General features: G+C 42.1%; 2 long non-coding RNA genes across 9 annotated transcripts in view, besides 2 other annotated features; one reads left to right on the top strand and one right to left on the bottom strand.

The window, feature by feature from the left end:
• The window catches only part of SIPA1L1-AS1 (SIPA1L1 antisense RNA 1), a 29125-nt gene extending 24705 nt beyond the window's left edge, over window positions 1-4420 (top strand). For 2 of the 8 annotated variants that reach the window (NR_184175.1, NR_184177.1), the window contains exons 3-5: window positions 1688-1881; window positions 2988-3107; window positions 4242-4420. This is a non-coding gene — a long non-coding RNA (SIPA1L1 antisense RNA 1). Of the gene's footprint in view, window positions 1-1687; window positions 1882-2863; window positions 3108-3651 lie in introns of all 8 variants that reach the window. The other 6 variants (NR_184179.1, NR_184178.1, NR_184173.1 and 3 more) reach the window with 5 other exon arrangements.
• Window positions 744-873: a silencer, noted in NCBI's record as "silent region_5896". NCBI's record gives its function as "represses an Ori minimal core promoter by ATAC-STARR-seq in GM12878 lymphoblastoid cells {active_cell/tissue: GM12878}" and the evidence as "EXISTENCE:reporter gene assay evidence [ECO:0000049][PMID:35858748]".
• On the bottom strand, window positions 1744-10200 carry LOC107984654 (uncharacterized). Its single transcript, XR_001750820.2, has 3 exons — window positions 10087-10200; window positions 2935-3063; window positions 1744-1872 (listed from the first exon to the last, which is right to left on the bottom strand). It is a non-coding gene; the product is annotated as an uncharacterized LOC107984654 (long non-coding RNA).
• Window positions 5778-6072: an enhancer, noted in NCBI's record as "tiled region #5380; HepG2 Activating non-DNase unmatched - State 3:PromF, and K562 Activating DNase matched - State 9:DNaseU". NCBI's record gives its function as "activates a minimal TATA promoter and a strong SV40 promoter by Sharpr-MPRA in HepG2 and K562 cells {active_cell/tissue: HepG2 | K562}" and the evidence as "EXISTENCE:reporter gene assay evidence [ECO:0000049][PMID:27701403]".
• Window positions 10201-19225: the final 9025 nt, after the last annotated feature.

The following is a 19225-nucleotide window of genomic DNA, read 5'->3' as shown; positions in this document are numbered from 1 at the left end:
GTATAACTTTAGCCTGACAGAAGGATTTGTAAAAATTCAGATGTCGGGCCTGGTGTGGTGGCTCGCGCCTGTAATCCCAGCACTTTGGGAGGCCGAGGTGTGTGGGTCATTTGAGGTCAGGAGTTCGAGACCAGTCTGGCCAACATAGTGAAACCCCGCCTCTACTAAAAATACAAAAATTAGTCGGGCCTGGTGACAGGCGCCTGTAGTCCCAGCTACTCAGAAGGCTGAGGCAGGAGAATCGCTTGAACCTGGGAGGCGGAAGTTGCAGTAAGCCAAGACCGCACCACTGCACTCAAACCTGGGCAACAGAGCAAGACTCTGTCTTAAAAAAAAATAAATAAATAATAAAAAAATTCAGACATCATAAAATGAGGGTTAAAGGGAAAATAATATGTATGTGATGGCCATATTCTGCAACCTTAAATATGTGGAAATATTTTTACAAGGCAGGGGAGTGGGGTATGGAGAGAGCATGTACAAGAGCATTTTAACTCTTTTCAGGGATCATCTTGGTGGCAGTGGGATTGGTATTGTTAAACTGAGTCTGTTGTGTATAAGGTGGGATGAGGCAGTAGCACCCTGGGAAATGCACAGCTCAGATATGCTGCCTTTGGGAGCATAGTTGAGTGATAGCCCCAGCTTCCATGCTCTGGAACCACCCCCTCCACCTACCTAGTTGGCACTGGGGCCATGCCCCCAGGGCTGCTCCCAGCCATTGAATGAGCAGAGCAGTACATTAGTGCAGATCTGCTCCTACCAGAGGCAGGACTTCTGCAGCAGGTGACTGTGGCTGCAGGAGTTCCCCTCTGCCTGGCCAAAGGTTTCTTAGAACTGAGCTGCAGTCTAGGGCTCTTCCTATCCATCTATTTCCCTTCTTTGGTCCCTTTCTCAGTGTTAGACTTGCATTGCATCTCTGCTCTTCTTGTTTCCTTCCCTTTGCCCTTCCCAGACATATCCCTACCAAAAGCTCTTGCATGGTTAATCCCATCTTGGTGTTTGCCTCTTCAAATGCCCAAAGCAACATAAAAATAGATGGGCAATTATGAGATGTTCTAATTGCTAGGATTCTCAGTATGAAAAGAGTTATACACATAATGTGGAATAAGTTAAGTAAGTCCTGAATGTGACTTGGAAGGAGCAGCATGAATTTATGAGGTTGTTTGTTTGTTTGTTTGTTTGTTTGTTTTTTGAGATAGGGTCTTACTCTGTTGCCCAGGCTGGAGTGTAGTGGCACAGTCATGGCTCACTGCAGCCTCGACCTCCTGGGCTCAAGTGATCCTCCTGCCTTTAGCCTCCCAAGTAGCTAGGACTACACGTGTACCACCACACCCAGCTATTTTTATTTTTTATTTTTTGTAATATGATATGTTGCCCAGGCTGTTCTCAAACTCTTGGCCTCAAGTGACCTTCCTGCCTTGGCCTCCCGAAGTGTTGGGATTACAGGCGTGAGCCACAACACTCTGCTGGTATTTTATCTTTAAGTATCAACCAGCCTCCAGGATGGTCCCTAATGTTTCTCTCCTTTTCACATTCATGTCCTTATGTAGTTTCCTCCCCCTCCCCCAACCTGTGTAAGCAATAGGACATCATGGGATTGACAGGGTGTTACTTCCAGTGCTAGATCGTAAAAAACATTGTGGCTTCTGCGTTGTTCTTTTTGATCACTTGCTTCTGGGGACATTAGGGCATTCAAGCAGCCCTGAGGAGAGGTCCACATGGTGAGCCACTGAGGGCCTTGCCAAGAGCCAGCACCAACGGTCCAGGTTTGGAGTGTACCACCTTGGAAGTGAATCTTCCAGTCCAGTCAAGCCTTCAGATGACTTCAGAACCGTCCATGTAAGCCACTCTTGGATTCCTGACCCACAGAAACTGTTGGAGGTAATAAATTTTATTGTTGTTTTAAGAAGCTATGTTTTGAGGTAATTTGTTACACAGCACTAAATAACTAACACGCACACTTATAACTTTGTTAATTGAAAAGGCCTAAAAACAATGTCCTACCCAGTCAAAATGGGCTCCATTAGAGTTTAGATAATAGTCTTGAAATATCTATTCACTCTGAAAGAAGCCAGGCCTTCTTAAAGAAGTAACTTAGGGTAGGAAATGTACCAAATGAACCTGGAATGTATTATTATTCCAAATAGTTCTCTCAAAAGGACCCAGGAACCAACTTGAAGTGGCATCTATTAGTTCAAGATGGCAGGATTTGAACTTCAATAATGACAATAACTGCAGTGGATTGAAATCCTGTCAAATATGTTTAAATCCATGAGTCCAAAATGCTATTTAAAAATAATTGGTCACCTTTGGAGGTTGATGGGGAACTAATTGATTATCTTGAAAACTGGTTAAAAAAATAGGAATCAAGCATTTACTGGCATTTTCTATATAAATTGTACCACTGGATTAGTAGATGAGGGAAACATCTCTTTATAAAAGTATTTTAGGCCAGGCGCTGTGGCTCATGCCTGTAATGCCAGCACTTTGGGAGGCCAAGGCCGTGTGGATCGCTTGAGCTCAGGAGTTCAAGACTAGCCTGGCCAACATGGTAAAACCCCATCTCTGCTAAAAATACAAAAATTAGCTGGGCATGGTGGCAGGTGCCTATAATCCCAGCTACTGGAGGCTGAGGCAGGAGAATTGCTTGAACCCAGGAGGCAAAGGTTGCAGTGAGCCAAGATTGTGCCACTGCTGCACTCCAGCCTGGGCAACAGAGCAAGACTCTGTCTCAAAAAAAAAAAAAAAAAAAAAAAAAAAAAACCCAACAAAAAACGATTTTAGCTAATAATGAAAAATGAAAAAGAAATGATAGAATTAGAACATCACCACTTTGTAACCCCCAATAAATTAATGGATTTAGGCATTATCAACAGTTTCTAACATCACAGACAGACAAACATGTGCCTCCTGATTGAAAAAACAGAACATCACCTGTAGTCTTGCCAGTGAGATCAAACTGAAGTCCAATTAACCTCTGGATCCAGCTGCCAATTTGCAGGAAATAGAGGAGAGAAGCATCTGTTGAACTGCACCATGAGTATACACTCAGCAAAGGCCAAACTGTGGAAAATGATACAGGTCAAACAGCCTGGATTCTTTAACAGGTAAATTGTAAGGAAAAGAAGGGGCTGAAGGGGAAAACTTTATATTGAAAGAGACTTAAATGAAATTTTTTAAATGGGCAGGAATAAACTACAGTGTTTAAGAGTGCATACTTTAGTAATAAAATGACAAAGAAACAGAAGGAAGTGATTCCTCTAAAACAGTGGTTCTCAAGCTTTAAGTTTTCATGAGAATCACCTGGAAAAAAATTTAAAACATGGATTGCTGGGCTCCACTCCAAGAGTTTTTTATTTCTTAGGTCTGTGATGGGGCCCAATAATTTGCTTTTCTATCAAGATTCTAGACACTTTGAGAACCACTGCTATAAAAGTCGGGACAGTGATTTCTTGGGATGGGAGGGTAAGGATGGAGGGAAGGGACTATAATTGAGACAGGATATGTGGAGGGGCTTCCGGGATAACTGTCCTAGTTCTATTTCTTGACTTTGGTGTTGGTTATAAGAAAGTTGGACATGTAATAATTCATTAGGCTATACATTTGTTTCATGTGTCTTTTGTATCTGTTTTTTCTGTTTGTTTGTTTTAGACGGAGTCTCACTCTGTCACCCAGCCTGAAGTGCAATGGTACAATCTCAGCTCACTGCAACCTCCGCCTCCCGGGCTCAAGCAATTCTCCTGCCTCAGCCTCCTGAATAGCTGGGATTACAGGCACGCGCCACCACGCCCAGCTAATTTTTGTATTTTTAGTAGAGACGGGGTTTCACCATGTTGCCCAGGCTGGTCTTGAACTCCTGACCTCAGGTGATCCACCCACCTCAGCCTCCCAAAGTGCTGGGATTACAGGCATGAGCCACCGTGCCTGGCCTTTTGTATCTGTTTTATTTTTTAAATAATAAGATTAAAAATAAATATTCTGCATGATTAAACAAATACAGATTTAAATTTTTACAGTCCAATTGAGTGATTTCCTCATGTTCCAAAACCAGGAAGTAGGTGTGGGACATCTATCTCCGTATTGCATACACAGTCTGGATTCTAGTTGTAGACTCCATATGGGCTGTCATACACGCTACTACAGAAATGAGAGAAATCCTTGGGAAATGGAACCATCTCACACATGAGAGACATCTCTGACAACTTATTCATAACTGAATACTTCTCATTTATCTTTACCAGTAAGTGATGTTTCTGAAGCACCAATGAAAATGAAGTCCTGAAGTCCTGTGCTCAATATGAAATGTTGGAAGTTAGAAGAAAAAAACAAAACTTGGATCCAATCTCAAGGCACTTTTTGTTTAATGGGAAGAAGTGGATTATTTTAAAAGCTACAAATAAAGTTACATAAAAGTAGCAAAGTTGATATACTTTCTGTTGCTCTGTTCCATATATTTTATTTTAAAAATTTATAAGATTATCAATTTGGAAGTCATATTTATAACCTAAGTCCAAAAATATTCTTAAAATATTTATGAAAAAAGTTCTGGTGAAGTCTTTATGATAACATCTTTACAGTATCTTATTTTTATTTCATCTTGCTTCCTTTGTATTACCATCAAATATTTATTCAGTATCTTCTCTTTGCAAGATAGTGTATTGAGGGTTTTACAATAGCTTGATTGTTATTAAATTAAAATAAATAACCTAGCCATATTGCCATTTGGCTAAGGGGCATAATGTTAATATTAAGTGATAATTTTCTTATCTCTTGCCTCTCTCCTACTTCAATGTCAGCAAGATGATCACAGTGTTCAGCTTTTCATTTTCTTTGTATTTCTTCTCTTTGAAGTTGGTATTACATGGACAATACAATTGTTATGAAATTGTGTAGATGCCTCCAGAATGCCAGTACCTCCGAGGAATGGCCAGGAATTGACAATTTATGTACTAAGGACCTCTTTTATGGTTTTTAACAATTTTTTTGGATCACACCTTTGGGAAATCAGAGGAGAGATATAGACTTGAAACTCAAAAGATGCCCCAATGCACCCACAAAACTTCATGACATTTCTAAGCTGTTTGCCAGCACGCATGCATTTCCCCTTGGGCTCAAGGACCAGTTGGAGAATATCTAGTTTCGTTATATTATACCATGCGGAGTGTTGGGAATAGAAATAGAGAAACAAATTTTACCTGTTTTCCAGGAGCTTTCACACTCAGTAAAGAACAAATTAGACAAAAATATTTTATTATGATGAGACAATTTTTTTTTTTTCAGACAAGGTCTTGTTCTGTAGCCCAGGCTGGAGTGCAGTGGTGCAATCACACTCACTGCAGCCTTGACCTCCCCAGCTCAGGTGAGCCTCCCACCTCAGCCTCCTGAGTAGCTGAGAGTATAGCTGTGCACCACCATGCCCAGCTAATTTTGTAATTTTTTTGTGGAGACAGGGGTTTGCCATTTTGCCCAGGATGGTCTCAAACTCCTAGATTCAAGCAATCTTCCTGCCCTGGCCTCCCACAGTGTTGGGATTACAGGCGGGAGCCACCATCCCTGGCCAGATGTTTTAATTGAACTATGTATGGATAAAAGTCTTTTGGTAAACAACACTATCATTTTTATATGTTTATGCCTTTTTCCAAATAAAATGCCTTAGAGCTTTTTATAAATCATATTATCCAGATGGAAAAACAAGGAAAAAAGAGATCCTGAGCTTGCCAAATATGACTCAGCAAGTCAGTGACATGCCTAGAAATAGAAATGAGAAACGAAAGAAGTTTTCAACAATCTACCTTGAAACAAGCAATCTCTGCACTTGCTCAGCAGTGCAGTTGGAAAAGAGGTAACTATGACACTGTAGGAGGAGGAAGCCAGTGAGTCAGCTCAACGTGGAAACTGTGTTTGAAGAGAGCCCTCCTGTGTGGAACAGTGCAGAAAAACTCTGACTCCATGCTTTAATCACTTCCTCCTTTGTGGCTGGAGAGCCATTGTCAGAGGCATTTAAACCAGAATGACTCCATCTTGAATAGGGGCTGGGTAAAATAAGGCTGAGACCTGCTGGACTGCAATCCCAGGAGGTTAGGCATTCTTAGTCACAGGATGAGATAGGAGGTCACAAGATACAAGTCACAGGCCGGACGCTGTGGCTCACACCTGTAATCTCAGCACTTTGGGAGGCTGAGGGGGGGTGCAGATCACTTGAGGTCAGGAGTTCGATAGCAGCCTGGCCAACATGGTGAAACTCCGTCTCTACTAAAAATACAAAAATTGGCCGGGTGTGGTGGCACACACCTGTAATCCCAGCTACTCGGGAGGCTGAGGCAGGAGAATCACTTAAACTCTGGAGGTGGAGGTTGCAGTGAGCCGAGATTGCACCATTGCTCTCCAGCCTGGGCAACAGAACGAAACTCCATCTCAAAAAAAAGAAAAGAAAAAAAAAAAAGACACAGGTCACAAAGACCCTGCTGATAAAACACATTGTGGTAAAGAAGCCGGCCAAAACCCACCAAAACTAAGATGGTAACGAAAGTGACCTCTGGTCGTCCTCACTGCTCATTATACGCTAATTTATAATGCATTAGCATGCTAAAAGACGCTCCCACTGGCACCTTGACAGTTTACAAATGCCATGGCAACATTTGAAAACTACTCTATATAAAAAGGGGAGGGATCCTCAGTTCCAGGAAATCTCTGCCTCTTTTCAAGAAAACACAAGAATAATCCATCCTTTGTTTAGCATATAATCAAGAAATAACTTTAAATATACTCCGTTGAACAGCCCATGCTGCTGCTCTGCCTGTGGAGTAGCCTTTCTTTTATTCCTTTACTTTTTTTTCTTTCTTTTTTCTTTTTCTTTTTCTTTTTTTTTTTTTTTTTTTTTTGAGATGGAGTCTCACTCTGTCTTCCAGGCTGAGTGCAGTGGTGCGATCTCGGCTCACTGCAACCTCCACCTCCTGGGTTCAAGCGATTCTCCTACCTCAGCCTCTTGAGTAGCTGGGATTACAGGCACATGCCACCACACCCAGCTAATTGTTGTATTTTTAGTAGAGACGGGGTTTCACCATGTTGGCCAGGCTGGTCTGGAACTCCTGACCTCAGGTGATCCAACCGCCTCGGCCTCCCAAAGTGCTGGGATTATAGGCGTGAACTACCTCGCCTGGCCTATTTCTTTACTTTCTTAGTAAACTTGCTTTCATTTTATGGACTTTCTCTGAATTCTTTCTTGCCTGAGGTCCAAGAACCCTCTCTTGGGGTCTGGATGGGGACACCTTTCTGGTAACACCCAGCCAAGCTTTATGCAACTGCCTATCCTGTCACCTGCATTTTCTTTGTCCTATGACACAGAATCTGTCACTTCTGACTTTTTAGAACGGCTTCACTTCCTGCAGGTGGACCAACTGGGTGGAGGTGGAAGGTGAAACTCGTAAACTCTGTCCTGCGGTCTTTGGGGGAAGTTTGTCATGCTGGCTTGAGAGCCCTGCCAGTGCCCTGGTGTGTTTCTGTCTGCAGGGCCTAGCCTAGGGCCTGGCTCACATGTGGATGCTTAAGAAAGGTATGTTGTGAAATTGAGGCAATACTTCACGACAGGTAAAGTCATAAAATCATGTAATCTGTGAAAGGAAAATAAATATTGGAACCCCAAAATCACTAAGCCAAAGGGAAAAGTCAAGCTGGGAACTGCTTAGGACAAACCTACCCTCCATTCTATTCCTAAAAAAGATAGCTACTAAGATTTTTTAAAAGCTACATACCTCTCTCACAAGGAATTTCCTTGAAGAGAAAGGACAGAGAGAACTCAGTCACACCTCTGCTCACTGAGATAAATGCGTATCTGGTTGCCTCCCTTGGAAAGGCTAATCAGCAACTTGAAAGAATGCAACTGTTCGTCTCTTACCTATGACCTGGAAGCCCCCTCCCTGCTTGGAGTTGTCCCGCCTTTCTGGATGGAACTGATGTGCATCTTACATATATTGATCTCATGTCTTCCTAAAATGCAGAAAACCAAGCTGTACCCCCGCCACCTTGGACACATGTAGTCAGGACTTCCTGAGGCTATGTCATGGGCACCCTCCTTAACTTTGGCAAAATAAACTTCCTAAATTGACTGAGACCTGTCTTAGATATTTGGGGTTCACAAATCATACTTGCCAGAATGTGTTAGAGTTGTGTGCTTAGTATTCTCTGCTAAATTGTGGTTTCCTAAAAGGCAAATATGACATTCATTTATTTCTGAATCCTTAATACCTAACAGATGACCTGGAGCACAGTAGATAGTTGCCCAATAAATTAATGAATGAGTGAATGTAGAATCATGGAGAGTTTGTATTATGCTAGTTCTTTTTTTAAAAAAAAAGTTAGAGATGGGGTCTCATTATGTTGCTCTGGCTGGTCTTGAATTCCTGGGCTCAAGTGATCCTTCAGCCTCAGCCTCCTGAGTGGCTGGGACTACAGGATCAAGTCCCCATACCTGCCTTCTAGTTGTTGATTTGGGGGTGGGGGGAGAAGGAGTTGCATAGAAAAAAGATTCAAACCAAATTGTTAAGGACATTTTTGCTAGCCTAGTTCTTATTTTTTTAAAAAAATTCAAGCAGCAACCAAAAGTACAAAGAATTAAGTAATACACCAAAATTGCCTGAATCCAAAAGTAACCATGATGAAAATTTGGTTAATATCATTTCAGATATCTTTTAATATATAAGTTAACAGATAATATTTTTAAGTATTAAACTGATCCATTCTAATTTCTGTCTTAATTGGTTCCTCAGTTGCCTTCCACCCTTAGGGTTGACTTACTGAGTCACGAGGCTTATTGTTCTGGTAAAGAATAGGTAGGTACTACTTGGAACAGGGAACATTGATCACAGCTAACTTCCTTGACCTCTTAATTTCAAACAAGAAAATATTCATGAAAGACAGACATGCTTAATTCAGAAAAGAATCCTTAAGCTATATTATCTTCCCCTTTATCATCAGGACTAGCTCTGGAGGGCTCTGACCAGTTTCTTCTCTAGCATAGAGTAGACCTCCCTCCTGCACGGCTCATGCCACGAGGCTGGCTCCTCTAGGAAGAGCATGTCAGAAGAAGGATGTGCTACAGATGAAATGGAAACCCCACACCTGCCCCTTCTGGCTGCAGGAATGGAAGGATCAGACATGGGTTGAGGAGCTTAGACACAAGGTTCTGGTTTTTGACCTCCCTTAGAACCAAACTTGGTTGCAGGAAAGGAGGAAAGAGAGCCTTTCTTTCTTTCTCTCTTTCTTTCTTTCTCTTCCTTTCTTTCTTTTTTAGGAAAGAGAGCCTTCCTTCCTTTCTTTCTATCTTTCCCTTCCTTCCTTCTTTCTTTCTTTCCTTTCTTTCTTTCCTTCTTTCTTTCTTTTCTTTCTTTTTCTTTCTTTCCTTTCTTTCTTCCTTCCTTCCTTCCTTCCTTTCTTTCTTTCTTTCTTGCTTGCTTTCTTGCTTTCTTGCTTTTTCTTTCACAGGGTCCTATCTCCCCAGCTGGGATGCAGTGCTGTGATCACAGCTCGTTCAACTTCCTGGGCTCAAACGATCCTCCTGCCTCAGCCTCCTGAGTAGCTGGGACTACTAGGTGCACAGCACCACACCCAGCTAATTTTTGTATTTTTTTTTGTAGAGATGGGGTTTTGCCATGTTGCCCAGGCTCGTCTTGAACTCCTGGGCTCAAGGAATTCACTTGCCTCAGCCTCTCCAAGTGCTGGGATTACAGGTGTGAGCCAGGAAAGGGAGTCTTAAAGCATCCAGATAGCTAAAGGAAGTGCAGGAACTCAGAACTCCAGGGATTCCCCCAAAACACTGCAAGGAGGTATCAGTCTTTAGCATAGCCCTGCACTCACCCACCTTTAACGTGGCACAAGATAATAATGTAGCAGCATTAACTCTCTACAGATAACTAAACAAACTATCTGCAGGTAACTGAACTATCTACTAATATGTAGATAATTTAACCTGAGATAGTGTTTCTCATCCCCCCATGGCTTGTATGTGGCCTTCAGAGGACCCAGAAGCTCTTGCATGTTTAGGGGCAGAGAATGCAGAGATGTTGATAGGGTTGGTGGACAGGCAGAAACCTGAATGTAGAGACGAATGGCCAGGACCATAAACTCCAGTGGCAGGTATCTTAGAAGCCATCAGTCTAGGACACTGCCTAGAGCAGCCAGTTCACAGCAGAGCTCAATGATGTTGGGAGGATTCAGCATGGATTTGAGGACCTCGTCTTCCTGTCCCCACTGATGACACTATGATGTCATACAATCCACCTTACCCCATAAAGGCAGACCCTACCTAGGAGAGGAGCAAGGAGAAGGAGAGGACATTCAAGGGACCGAAAACTTACCTCAGTGAACTCCTGACTTCATTCCATTAACTTTAACAAATTGCCATAAAATTTGGCCCCCTTTTTCCTTGTATTCCAGCCACCAAAACAACCATTGCCGCATGGCTGAAGGAGCTTGTAAGGAATATCAGAACATTCATTTATTTATTTTTCCTTGATTCTGCATCAGATAAAAATTATTTTTCTAACAGAATTTGAAAAAGACAGTGTTTTTTCTTTGTATATATTAGTATAGTAGGTGTGTAGCCCAGTTATATACAGGTACAGTATATATAGAGAAATATAAACAATTGTATCAACATGTGATCAGATTGTCTATATCCATCAGGGTTGCACATAACAGAAGCACTCTTGTAGTTTAAGTAGGCAGGGCATTGGGTACAAATGCAATTATGGAAGGGTTGGGGGAGTAGGCTTCAGGTTTGGGCTTTTAGAAATGACTCCCAGAATAAACCTGCAGAACTGGTGTGTCAGGCAGTGTCTACCTCTGCCACAGTCAGGAATCTGTGGAACAGGAAGCTACTGTCCCAAATTCAGCCTCTAGGATTATGCCATTGTGGTAGGCCAAAAACAGCCCTCCAAAAGATACCCATTTTTTGATTCCTAGAACCTGCGAATATTACCTTGGACATAAACAAGGTCTTTGCAGATGTGATTGAGGATCTTGACATAGGATTATCCTGGATTATCAGAGTGGGTCCTAAATGCAATCACGTGTATCTTATAAAAAGGAGGCAGAGGGATGTTTAACACTGATAGAAAAGGAGGCTGGGTGCAATGGCTCACGCCTGTAATCCTAGCACATTGGGATGCTGAGGCTGGTGGATCACTTGAGGCCAGGAGTTTGAGACCAGCCTGGCCAATATGGAGAAATCTGTCTCTACTAAAAATACAAATATTAGCTGGATGTGTTGGTGGGAGCCTGTAATCTCAGCTACTCAGGAGACTGAGACATGAGAATCGCTTGAACCCAGGAGGCAAAGGCTGCAGTGAGCCGAGCTCATGCCATTGCACTCCAGCCTGAGCGACAGAGCAAGACTGTCTAAAAAAAAAACCCAAACAAAAACCAAAAACAAATAAACAAACAAACAAACAAGCAAAAAACACTGATAGAAAAGGAGAAGGTGATTGAAGATGGAGGGAGAGTGTTGTGGCTGCAAACCAGGGGGTGCCGGTAGCCACAAGAAGATGGAAGAAGCAAGGAATGGATTTTCCCCTAGAACCTCTGGAGGGAGCCTGGCCTGGCTGCCACCTTAGTTTCAGCCCAGGGATACTGAGTTTGGATGTTTGGTCTCCAGAACTGTAAGAGAATAAATTAAAGCCACCAAATATATGGTCATTTGTTTCAACAGCTATAGGTAATGAATATACCACCTCAGTGTGATCTGGGCACAAGGAAGCCACCACTTCAGTGATGGCTCCAGGAACCATGGGGTTACCTTAGCTTCAATCCAGGAGTCAAGAAGCCCCACCAGAACTATGGGCTCCAGAGCCATGGCATAACTCTTGGAGCTCTAGCACCGATGTCTCACTTGCCATCATCTTTTCTTCACTGAACTGCTGAATTCTAGTCTCACAAAAGTGCATCTGACTGGTGACTACTGAATCTCTTTGAAATAAAAGCTGCAAGGGAGTCTGGAAATACAGACACAGGAAAACACAGTAGACTAAGGATAGAAGAGACATTAAATAATCCAATCAATTGCATCTACCATAAGATACATGCTATTTTTAGTAAACTATTAAATTTACTACTACTTAAAAAAGAAAGAAGAAATTAAGGTGAAATAGAAAAGAGCCAAACTTTAGATAAATATATCTTTACCACTCAAATATATTACTTCCTAAGAGTTCCTTACAATTAAGGAGAAAACTTTTTTTTTTTTTTTGAGCTGGAGTCTTGCTCTGTCACCCAGGCTGGAATGCAGTGTCACAATATCGTCTCATTGCAACCTCTGCCCCCTGAGTTAAAGCAGTTCTCCTGCCTCAGCCTCCCCAGTAGCTGGGATTACAAGTGCGCACCACCACGCCCGGCTAATTTTTGTATTTTAGTAGAGATGAGGTTTCACCATGTTGGCCAGGCTGGTCTGGAACTCCTGACTGCAAGTGATCCGCCTGCCTTGGTCTCCCAAAGTGTTGGGATTACAGGAATGAGCCACCACGCTTGGCCATAAAACATTATTTTTAAAAAAGACAAAACATAATAGGTTGGAGTGTTCATAAACACATTTCAATTTTAGATATTTGGACTTTGTAGTATACATGCATAACTTGTTCCCAACCCTTCTCCTAATACTACTCAATTTTGACCATATTAATTTTACCTTCTTAAAGTGTTAATATTTGCATTGCATTCACTTCTATAGCATAAATCTCATGTGATTTAATGATAAGTTCATATTCTTTTACCCTGAAATTTCCATTTCTTACTGCTTTATTTTGATTCATCTCCTAGTTGCCTGCATTACAATTTTATCAACAAGGCATTTTTTCAAGAATGGTGCATGGTAATGTATTCCCTGAATTCTTGCATGCTTGAGACTCTCCACCCGTAGCCTTCATACTGATAATCTTCATACTGATAATCTGGATAAAATTCTAAAGTCACAAGTCTTTCCCTCTGAACTTGGTAAATATTTTTTCGCTGTCATCTAGCATCAAGCATTGTGACAGTTTCCTTTCTCTTTCTTCTGTTCTTCCCCTACATTCCTTTCTTCCTCCCTCCCCCCAGCCCCCACTTTCAACTACAGTTTACCCACTCATTGCCTGGCTGACTGGATTCTATTCTTGAGCCTTTTCAAAATTTCTGGCAAGAAATTGTATTTTTCTCCTTGTTTGGTTGCTGCTAATGAAAACTGTATGTTGACTGGTAAGTTTTTTTAAAAAATGTCTTTCTTTTGTTTTAGAGAGGGCAGGTTTTATTATTTGCATATTAATCTGGAAACCAGTTCTTCTTCTTGTCTTTATCTGAACCTCTTCAAGGACTCATTTTGAGGATTAGTATTAGAAGCTCCATTTGGTAGCCAGGTCCTGGGGCTCCTCTTGGTCATAAATGTTGAAGACGCACAAAGCCAGAATGTCCCTACAGGCTGCTTCTCTCAGCTAGTACAGAATATGCTCCTATTGCAAGTAGCAACTTGAGAAATGGCCCTTATATATCTGAAAATAGCTCTCCTGTTTCCACTGTCTTCACGTTTTGAAGCTAGGTGTTTCCGGATCCTTTCCACACTATCTCCATCTTCATCATTTCTATTCACCACCATTCGTCTTAAAATGCGATTTCCTGCACAGAACACTGCAGCTATGGTCTCATTAAAGCAGGGCCCAGCAGCTCCTGGCCTTCCTTTGTTTTGGACCCTCTAAGTTCATTAATATGGCTCAAGGTCATGTTAATGTTTTTGACAGCCGTATTTCACCATTTACCCATTAAATTCTGTAAATAAAACTGCTAAGCCTATTTTTTTTTTTTTTAACATGTGTTGTTGTTAAGCTGTCTCGCTCCCATCTGGTATTTGTGTAGCTACTTTTATTCCCTTGTTGTTTGTTGTTTTGTTTTTAGACCTTCGGTTGTTCTTTCCACTTAAGTTCATTATTTTAAATTCTGCCTATCATTCTGGACTGTGGCTATTTTGGATAATAATGTTATTTTCTGATGCACTGGCAATAGCTTCATGTCATAAGAGCATCACCAGCGTCCTCATCTAGCTAGTTGTAACAGTTTTGGAGTCCATCAGGTGTAGGTTTAAGTTCTGGTTCCTCTACTTATTAGTTATGTGATGTTGAACAAGCTAATTGTTCATTCCAAGCCTCAGTTTTCTCATTTATGAAGTGGTGATAAAAAATAATACCTACTTTATAGAATTAAAGTGCTTAGCACTGTGCTTAGCATATGTTAGGCACTTAATAAAAAGTAATTATTATTAGCATTATTGATTAAAATGCTAAAAAGGAGCTGACAGAAAAGAGCCTCTTGGCAGGCCCTTAGAAATTCCCCCAAGGTTTGCATTAACTCTATAACCAACAACCTTTGGGGATGGTCTTAGCAGTTTTGCATCTATTAATGGCATCATCAAAGAACGTTCATTTTGTTTGCAAGGTTATAACAAAAGATGTGACAAATATGTAGCTCAAATCCAAGTGAACTCTACTGTAACATTCCATTAACAGCCTACAGAAAAGGAAACAAGGTTGGTCTGGCCTTGCTCTCTCCTGGGGAACCCTTGCTTGCTGGTCTCTGGGGTTCACTGCTTCCCTTTATAGGAGCTAATGAGTGATTTTTTCAGCAGATGTCCACCTCACTAACCTATAGAAGTTGTATAGTAGTCCATTCTCACGCTGCTAAGAGTGGGTAATTAAGTAAAGAGTTTTAATCGACTCACAGGTAAGAGTGAGTAATTAAGGTAAGAGGTTTAATTGACTCACAGTTTTACTTGTCTGGGGAGACCTCAGGAAAATTACAATCATGGCAGTAGGCAAAGGAGAAGCAAGGACCTTCTTCACAAGGTGGCAGGGGAGAGACAGCATGCAAGGGAAGCTGCCACTTTTAAACCATCAGACCTCATGAGAACTCCCTCATTATCACGAGAACAGCATGGGTGAAACCACCCCCATAATCAAATCACCTCCCACCAGATTCCTCCCTCAACTCTTGGGGATTACAGTTCAAGATGAGATTTAGGTAGGGATACAGAGCCAAACCATTTCAGGTGGTTTCCACAATAGGGTTCAACACAGTGCCCCATCCTGGGGAAGAGAGGGAGGTAGGATGCAGGAGGCCTTGCCACCTCTGTGATACCCAGAGCATCTTTACTTTGACCAGTTTTCTGTATTTGGGTCCCATAAGTAGATGCAGACTACATGTTGTTGATGTTGTTATTATTTTTGAGACAGGGTCTCATTTGTCACCCAGGCTGGAGTGCAGTGGTACGATTATGGGTCACTGCAGTCTCAACTCCTGAGCTCAAGTGACCTTCCCACATCAACCTTGGGAGTAGCTGGGACTACAGGCTTGTGCCATCACAGTCGGCTAATTTTTTAATTTTTTGTAGAGATGGGTTTTCACTATAGTACCCAGGCTGGTCTCAAACTCCTGGGCCCAAGAAATCTTCTGGCCTTGGTCTCTCAAAGTGCTTGGACTTGTCCTATCAGGTATCTAAGTTTTAGATTTCCTGTGGCTTTTCCAAGTTGTGAATATCACTCCCCTCTCTTAATCTCTCTCTGTCTCTCTCTCTCTCACACACACACACACACACATTTATACTTTTACTCTTTTCTCTTGTTGTTTTTAAACATAGCCTCCCCGTCCCCAGGTATGTATGCTAATCTTTTCTAATTCTCTTTGGGCTTTTAGACTTACTTCTGTTCCTTGTCTAATATTGTTTAGTTTTTATACCTAAGTTTCTCATAATGCTGCCTGTGTTATCACATTTAATTTTTTTGTTTTCTCCCCCATTTTTCCTCACCAGTCTCCTTCATGCATTTAGAAAATATTGACTGGACACAGTGGCTCTTGCCTGCAATCCCAGAACTTTGGGAGGCCAAAGCGGGATTGAGACCAATAATTTGAGACCAGCCTGGGCGAGATATCAAGACTCCATCTTTATAAATAATTTTAAAAATTAGGCAGACGTGGTGATATGTGCCTGTAGTCCTAGCTGCTCAGAAGACTGAAATAGAAGAATCACTTGAGCCTAGGAGTTCAAGGCTGCAGTGAGCCATGATTGCACCACTGCACTCCAACCTGGGCAACAGAGACCCTGCCTCAAAAAAGAAAAGAGAAAAGATTTGTCAAGGCTTAGCTGTGTGCTAAACAGGGGCAGGGCCTAAGCCTTGGGGATACCTGGCTTCCATTCCCAAGGAGCTGAGGGGTATCGACAAACGAACAGGCAGTTGCAATACAGTGACTGCTTTGTCACATTCCCATTTCTGATATTTTCCCTCTCTTTCGAGCCACTTTCGTTTTATAGTCTGAGACCATGGAATAACTCTCAGGCAAGTAATCACATTTGCCAGCTGTGAAAGAATATGACTCTATACTGATCGAAACCTGGGCAATCGGTTTATATTAAAGACTGGAAAGAGAAAGGGGGCTGGCATGTATTAAGTGCCTAATGCATGCTAAACATTAGGCTGGGCCTGCTAACATACCTTATCTTACTTATTTTTCACAATTACCCAAAAGGAGGTATCATAACCTTCATTTTCCAAGTGATAAAATTCAGGTTTAGAGAACCCTAAGGTCACATAGCTATGAATCAGGATATTGGGATTCACGTTCAAGTTTGGCTTTCCAATGCATTATGTTACAAAATTCGCCTTCTTTGAAATGGTGCCTTTGACCCTTCCATGCCTCTCCTTCACTGGGTCTGTATTTTTTAGACCCTTCTAAATGCAGCTTGGCTCAGAACTCACACCTACTCAGAGGCTTGCCAGTGTGGGGATGAATCAGGAAAAGTGGCAAGGGCTGGTGCAGGCAATGACAAAGAGGCTGGCAATGGTGTGAATGCCGACGCTTTGCCCTGCACTGACTATTCAGTCCAGGCTTGGGGACCACAGCAGTGTCACCATACAATGATTTCAGGAGCCATCAGCATGTCAGAGATGGAAGACTCACAGACTCTAAGTAGGGTATGTGCACTTTGCAGAGACAAGAGAAGAAGATAGCAAACTCCATCATGTGTCATATTGCATCAGTACCCATTCTCTGTCTCTCTGAAGACTATGCCTGAAGTGATGGCAAAAAGCTGGCCTTACTTATTGGACAAGGTCTGGAAAATGTGAATGGAAAACAAAGGAAAGAGGAGGGAAAAAAGCTAGTTGGTTTAATAGGAAAATGCTATATGTCTCATGAATAAAGCAGAAACTCTGGATGTTATGAAATGGCAGGGGCTGATCACAGGGCAGAGAGTAGATCCCAGAGTCCATCAGCATGATAGGTGTGTCCCTCCCAGAGGGCATGGTGAACTAGGGCCACGGGAACTGAGTATGATGTACTGTGTCCAAGGAAAGTGGTATTTCTATGGAAAGAAGAAATGAGCACGCTGGCCTCTGTCACTATAGCTGGCAGGTTAAAAACCCCTACTAGGGGCCGGGTGCAGTGGCTCACACCTATAATCCCAGCACTTTGGGAGGCAAGGCAGGTGGATCACTTGAGGTCAGGAGTTCAAGACCAGCCTGGCCAACATGGCAAAACCCTGTCTCTAATAAAAATACAAAAATTAGCCGGGTGTGATGGCACATGCCTGTAGTCCCAGCTACTTGGGAGGCTGAGGCAGGATAATTGCTTGAACCCGAGAGGTGGAGGTTGCAGTGAGCTGAGACCGTGCCACCACACTCCAGCCTGGGTGACAGCATGAGACTCCGTCTCAAAAATAAATAAATAAATATTCTTCTTTAAAAATTTTTATTATATATGTAAATATTAATATAATTATTTAAGGACATAATTTTCAAACATGCATTTATTAGAGAGCAGGCTAGAAAAAATATTTTTAGTGATCACAAAAATTTGGAAACCACTTATTTAAATCATTTCTAGTTCTATTTTCTGTTTCTTGCAGCCAAAAGCATCCTAGCTCCTAAAAGGATAATAATAGTAGATAACGCTGAATGTTCACTATGTGGCAAACACTTTTAAACCTTCACTTAATCCTCATGACAATCTTCAAAGTTGGGTACCATGATTCCCCCGTTTTACGAATGAGAGCTTTGACTAGGAAAGATTAAATAATTTGCCCCACATCAGAAAGCTAGTGCGTTAAGGCGCCAGGATTAGAACCCGGCTAGCTCTACGTCCTGCGCACTTAATCATCATGTTATACAGGGGCACAGACTTCATTTTACAGTAAGGAAGCAGAGCCATGAAAAACTTAAAGAACTCCAAGCAGACTCAACAAGTCATGGCAGAACTGAAGACAGGGTGAAGGAGAGATGGCCCATGAACTAGTTGGTCAGCTACTATGGTGGGACGTGGGCCCGGTTCTATCCTAACAATGAGACGGCATTCCTCATGGCATGTTAGGAATCGGCTGCCTTCCCTCCTTCCTTTCCTCTTTACCTCCTTCCTCTCTTTTCTTCTCCCTTTCTCAGGCATGCGAATTCCATCCCTCCTGCCCCGACCCCACCACCATCACCACATGCACATACTCAAGCCTGATCTTTTTTTTTTTTTTTTTGAGACGGAGTCTTCGTTCTGTCTTCCAGGCTGGAGTGCAGTGGCATGATCTCGGATCACTGCAACCTTCGCCTCCCAGGTTCAAGCGATTCTCCTGCCTCAGCCTCCCGAGTAACTGGGACTACAGGCACCCACCACCAAGCCTGGCTAATTTTTTTTTGTTTGTTTATAGAGATGGAGTTTCACCATGTTGGCCAGGCTAGTCTCAAACTCTCTGACCTGAAGAGATCCACCTGCCTCGGCCTCCCAAAGTGTTGGGATTACAGGCGTGAGCCACTGCGCATGGCCACGCTTGATTTATATTATTTGGAATCATATCCAAGTGCCAGGAATCCCAGAAAGCTACCCCTTCCTTGACTCCCTGCTACTATCCATTACTTAAGTAAGACAAGAAAGAACAGAGAAAAAAAAAATTTGTATAGGTTTGTACTAAGCAAATATGGGTATGTGAATACATTCACTTTCAAACTCCATTTGTTTACAGATGGAAATTACTTGGGTATGTTCTTTAAACTAAAAGTAATTTCTTCTGAGGAAAAGATAAAAGAAACAGTGCCTCTGACCTTTGATATTAAAATACCTTTATGTTTCCTCAGCGCGTGGCAAAGCACGGGCAGATTTTACAGGTTTCTCAAAAGCTTCTGTGAGCTATACTTTATAAGTGCTGGCACTACAGCCCAGGGGACTATTTTCTCCTCAA

Source organism: Homo sapiens, chromosome 14 (genome assembly GCF_000001405.40).
Source record: "Homo sapiens chromosome 14, GRCh38.p14 Primary Assembly".
NCBI lineage: Eukaryota > Metazoa > Chordata > Mammalia > Primates > Hominidae > Homo > Homo sapiens.
This window is presented reverse-complemented; position numbering and strand designations above follow the sequence as displayed.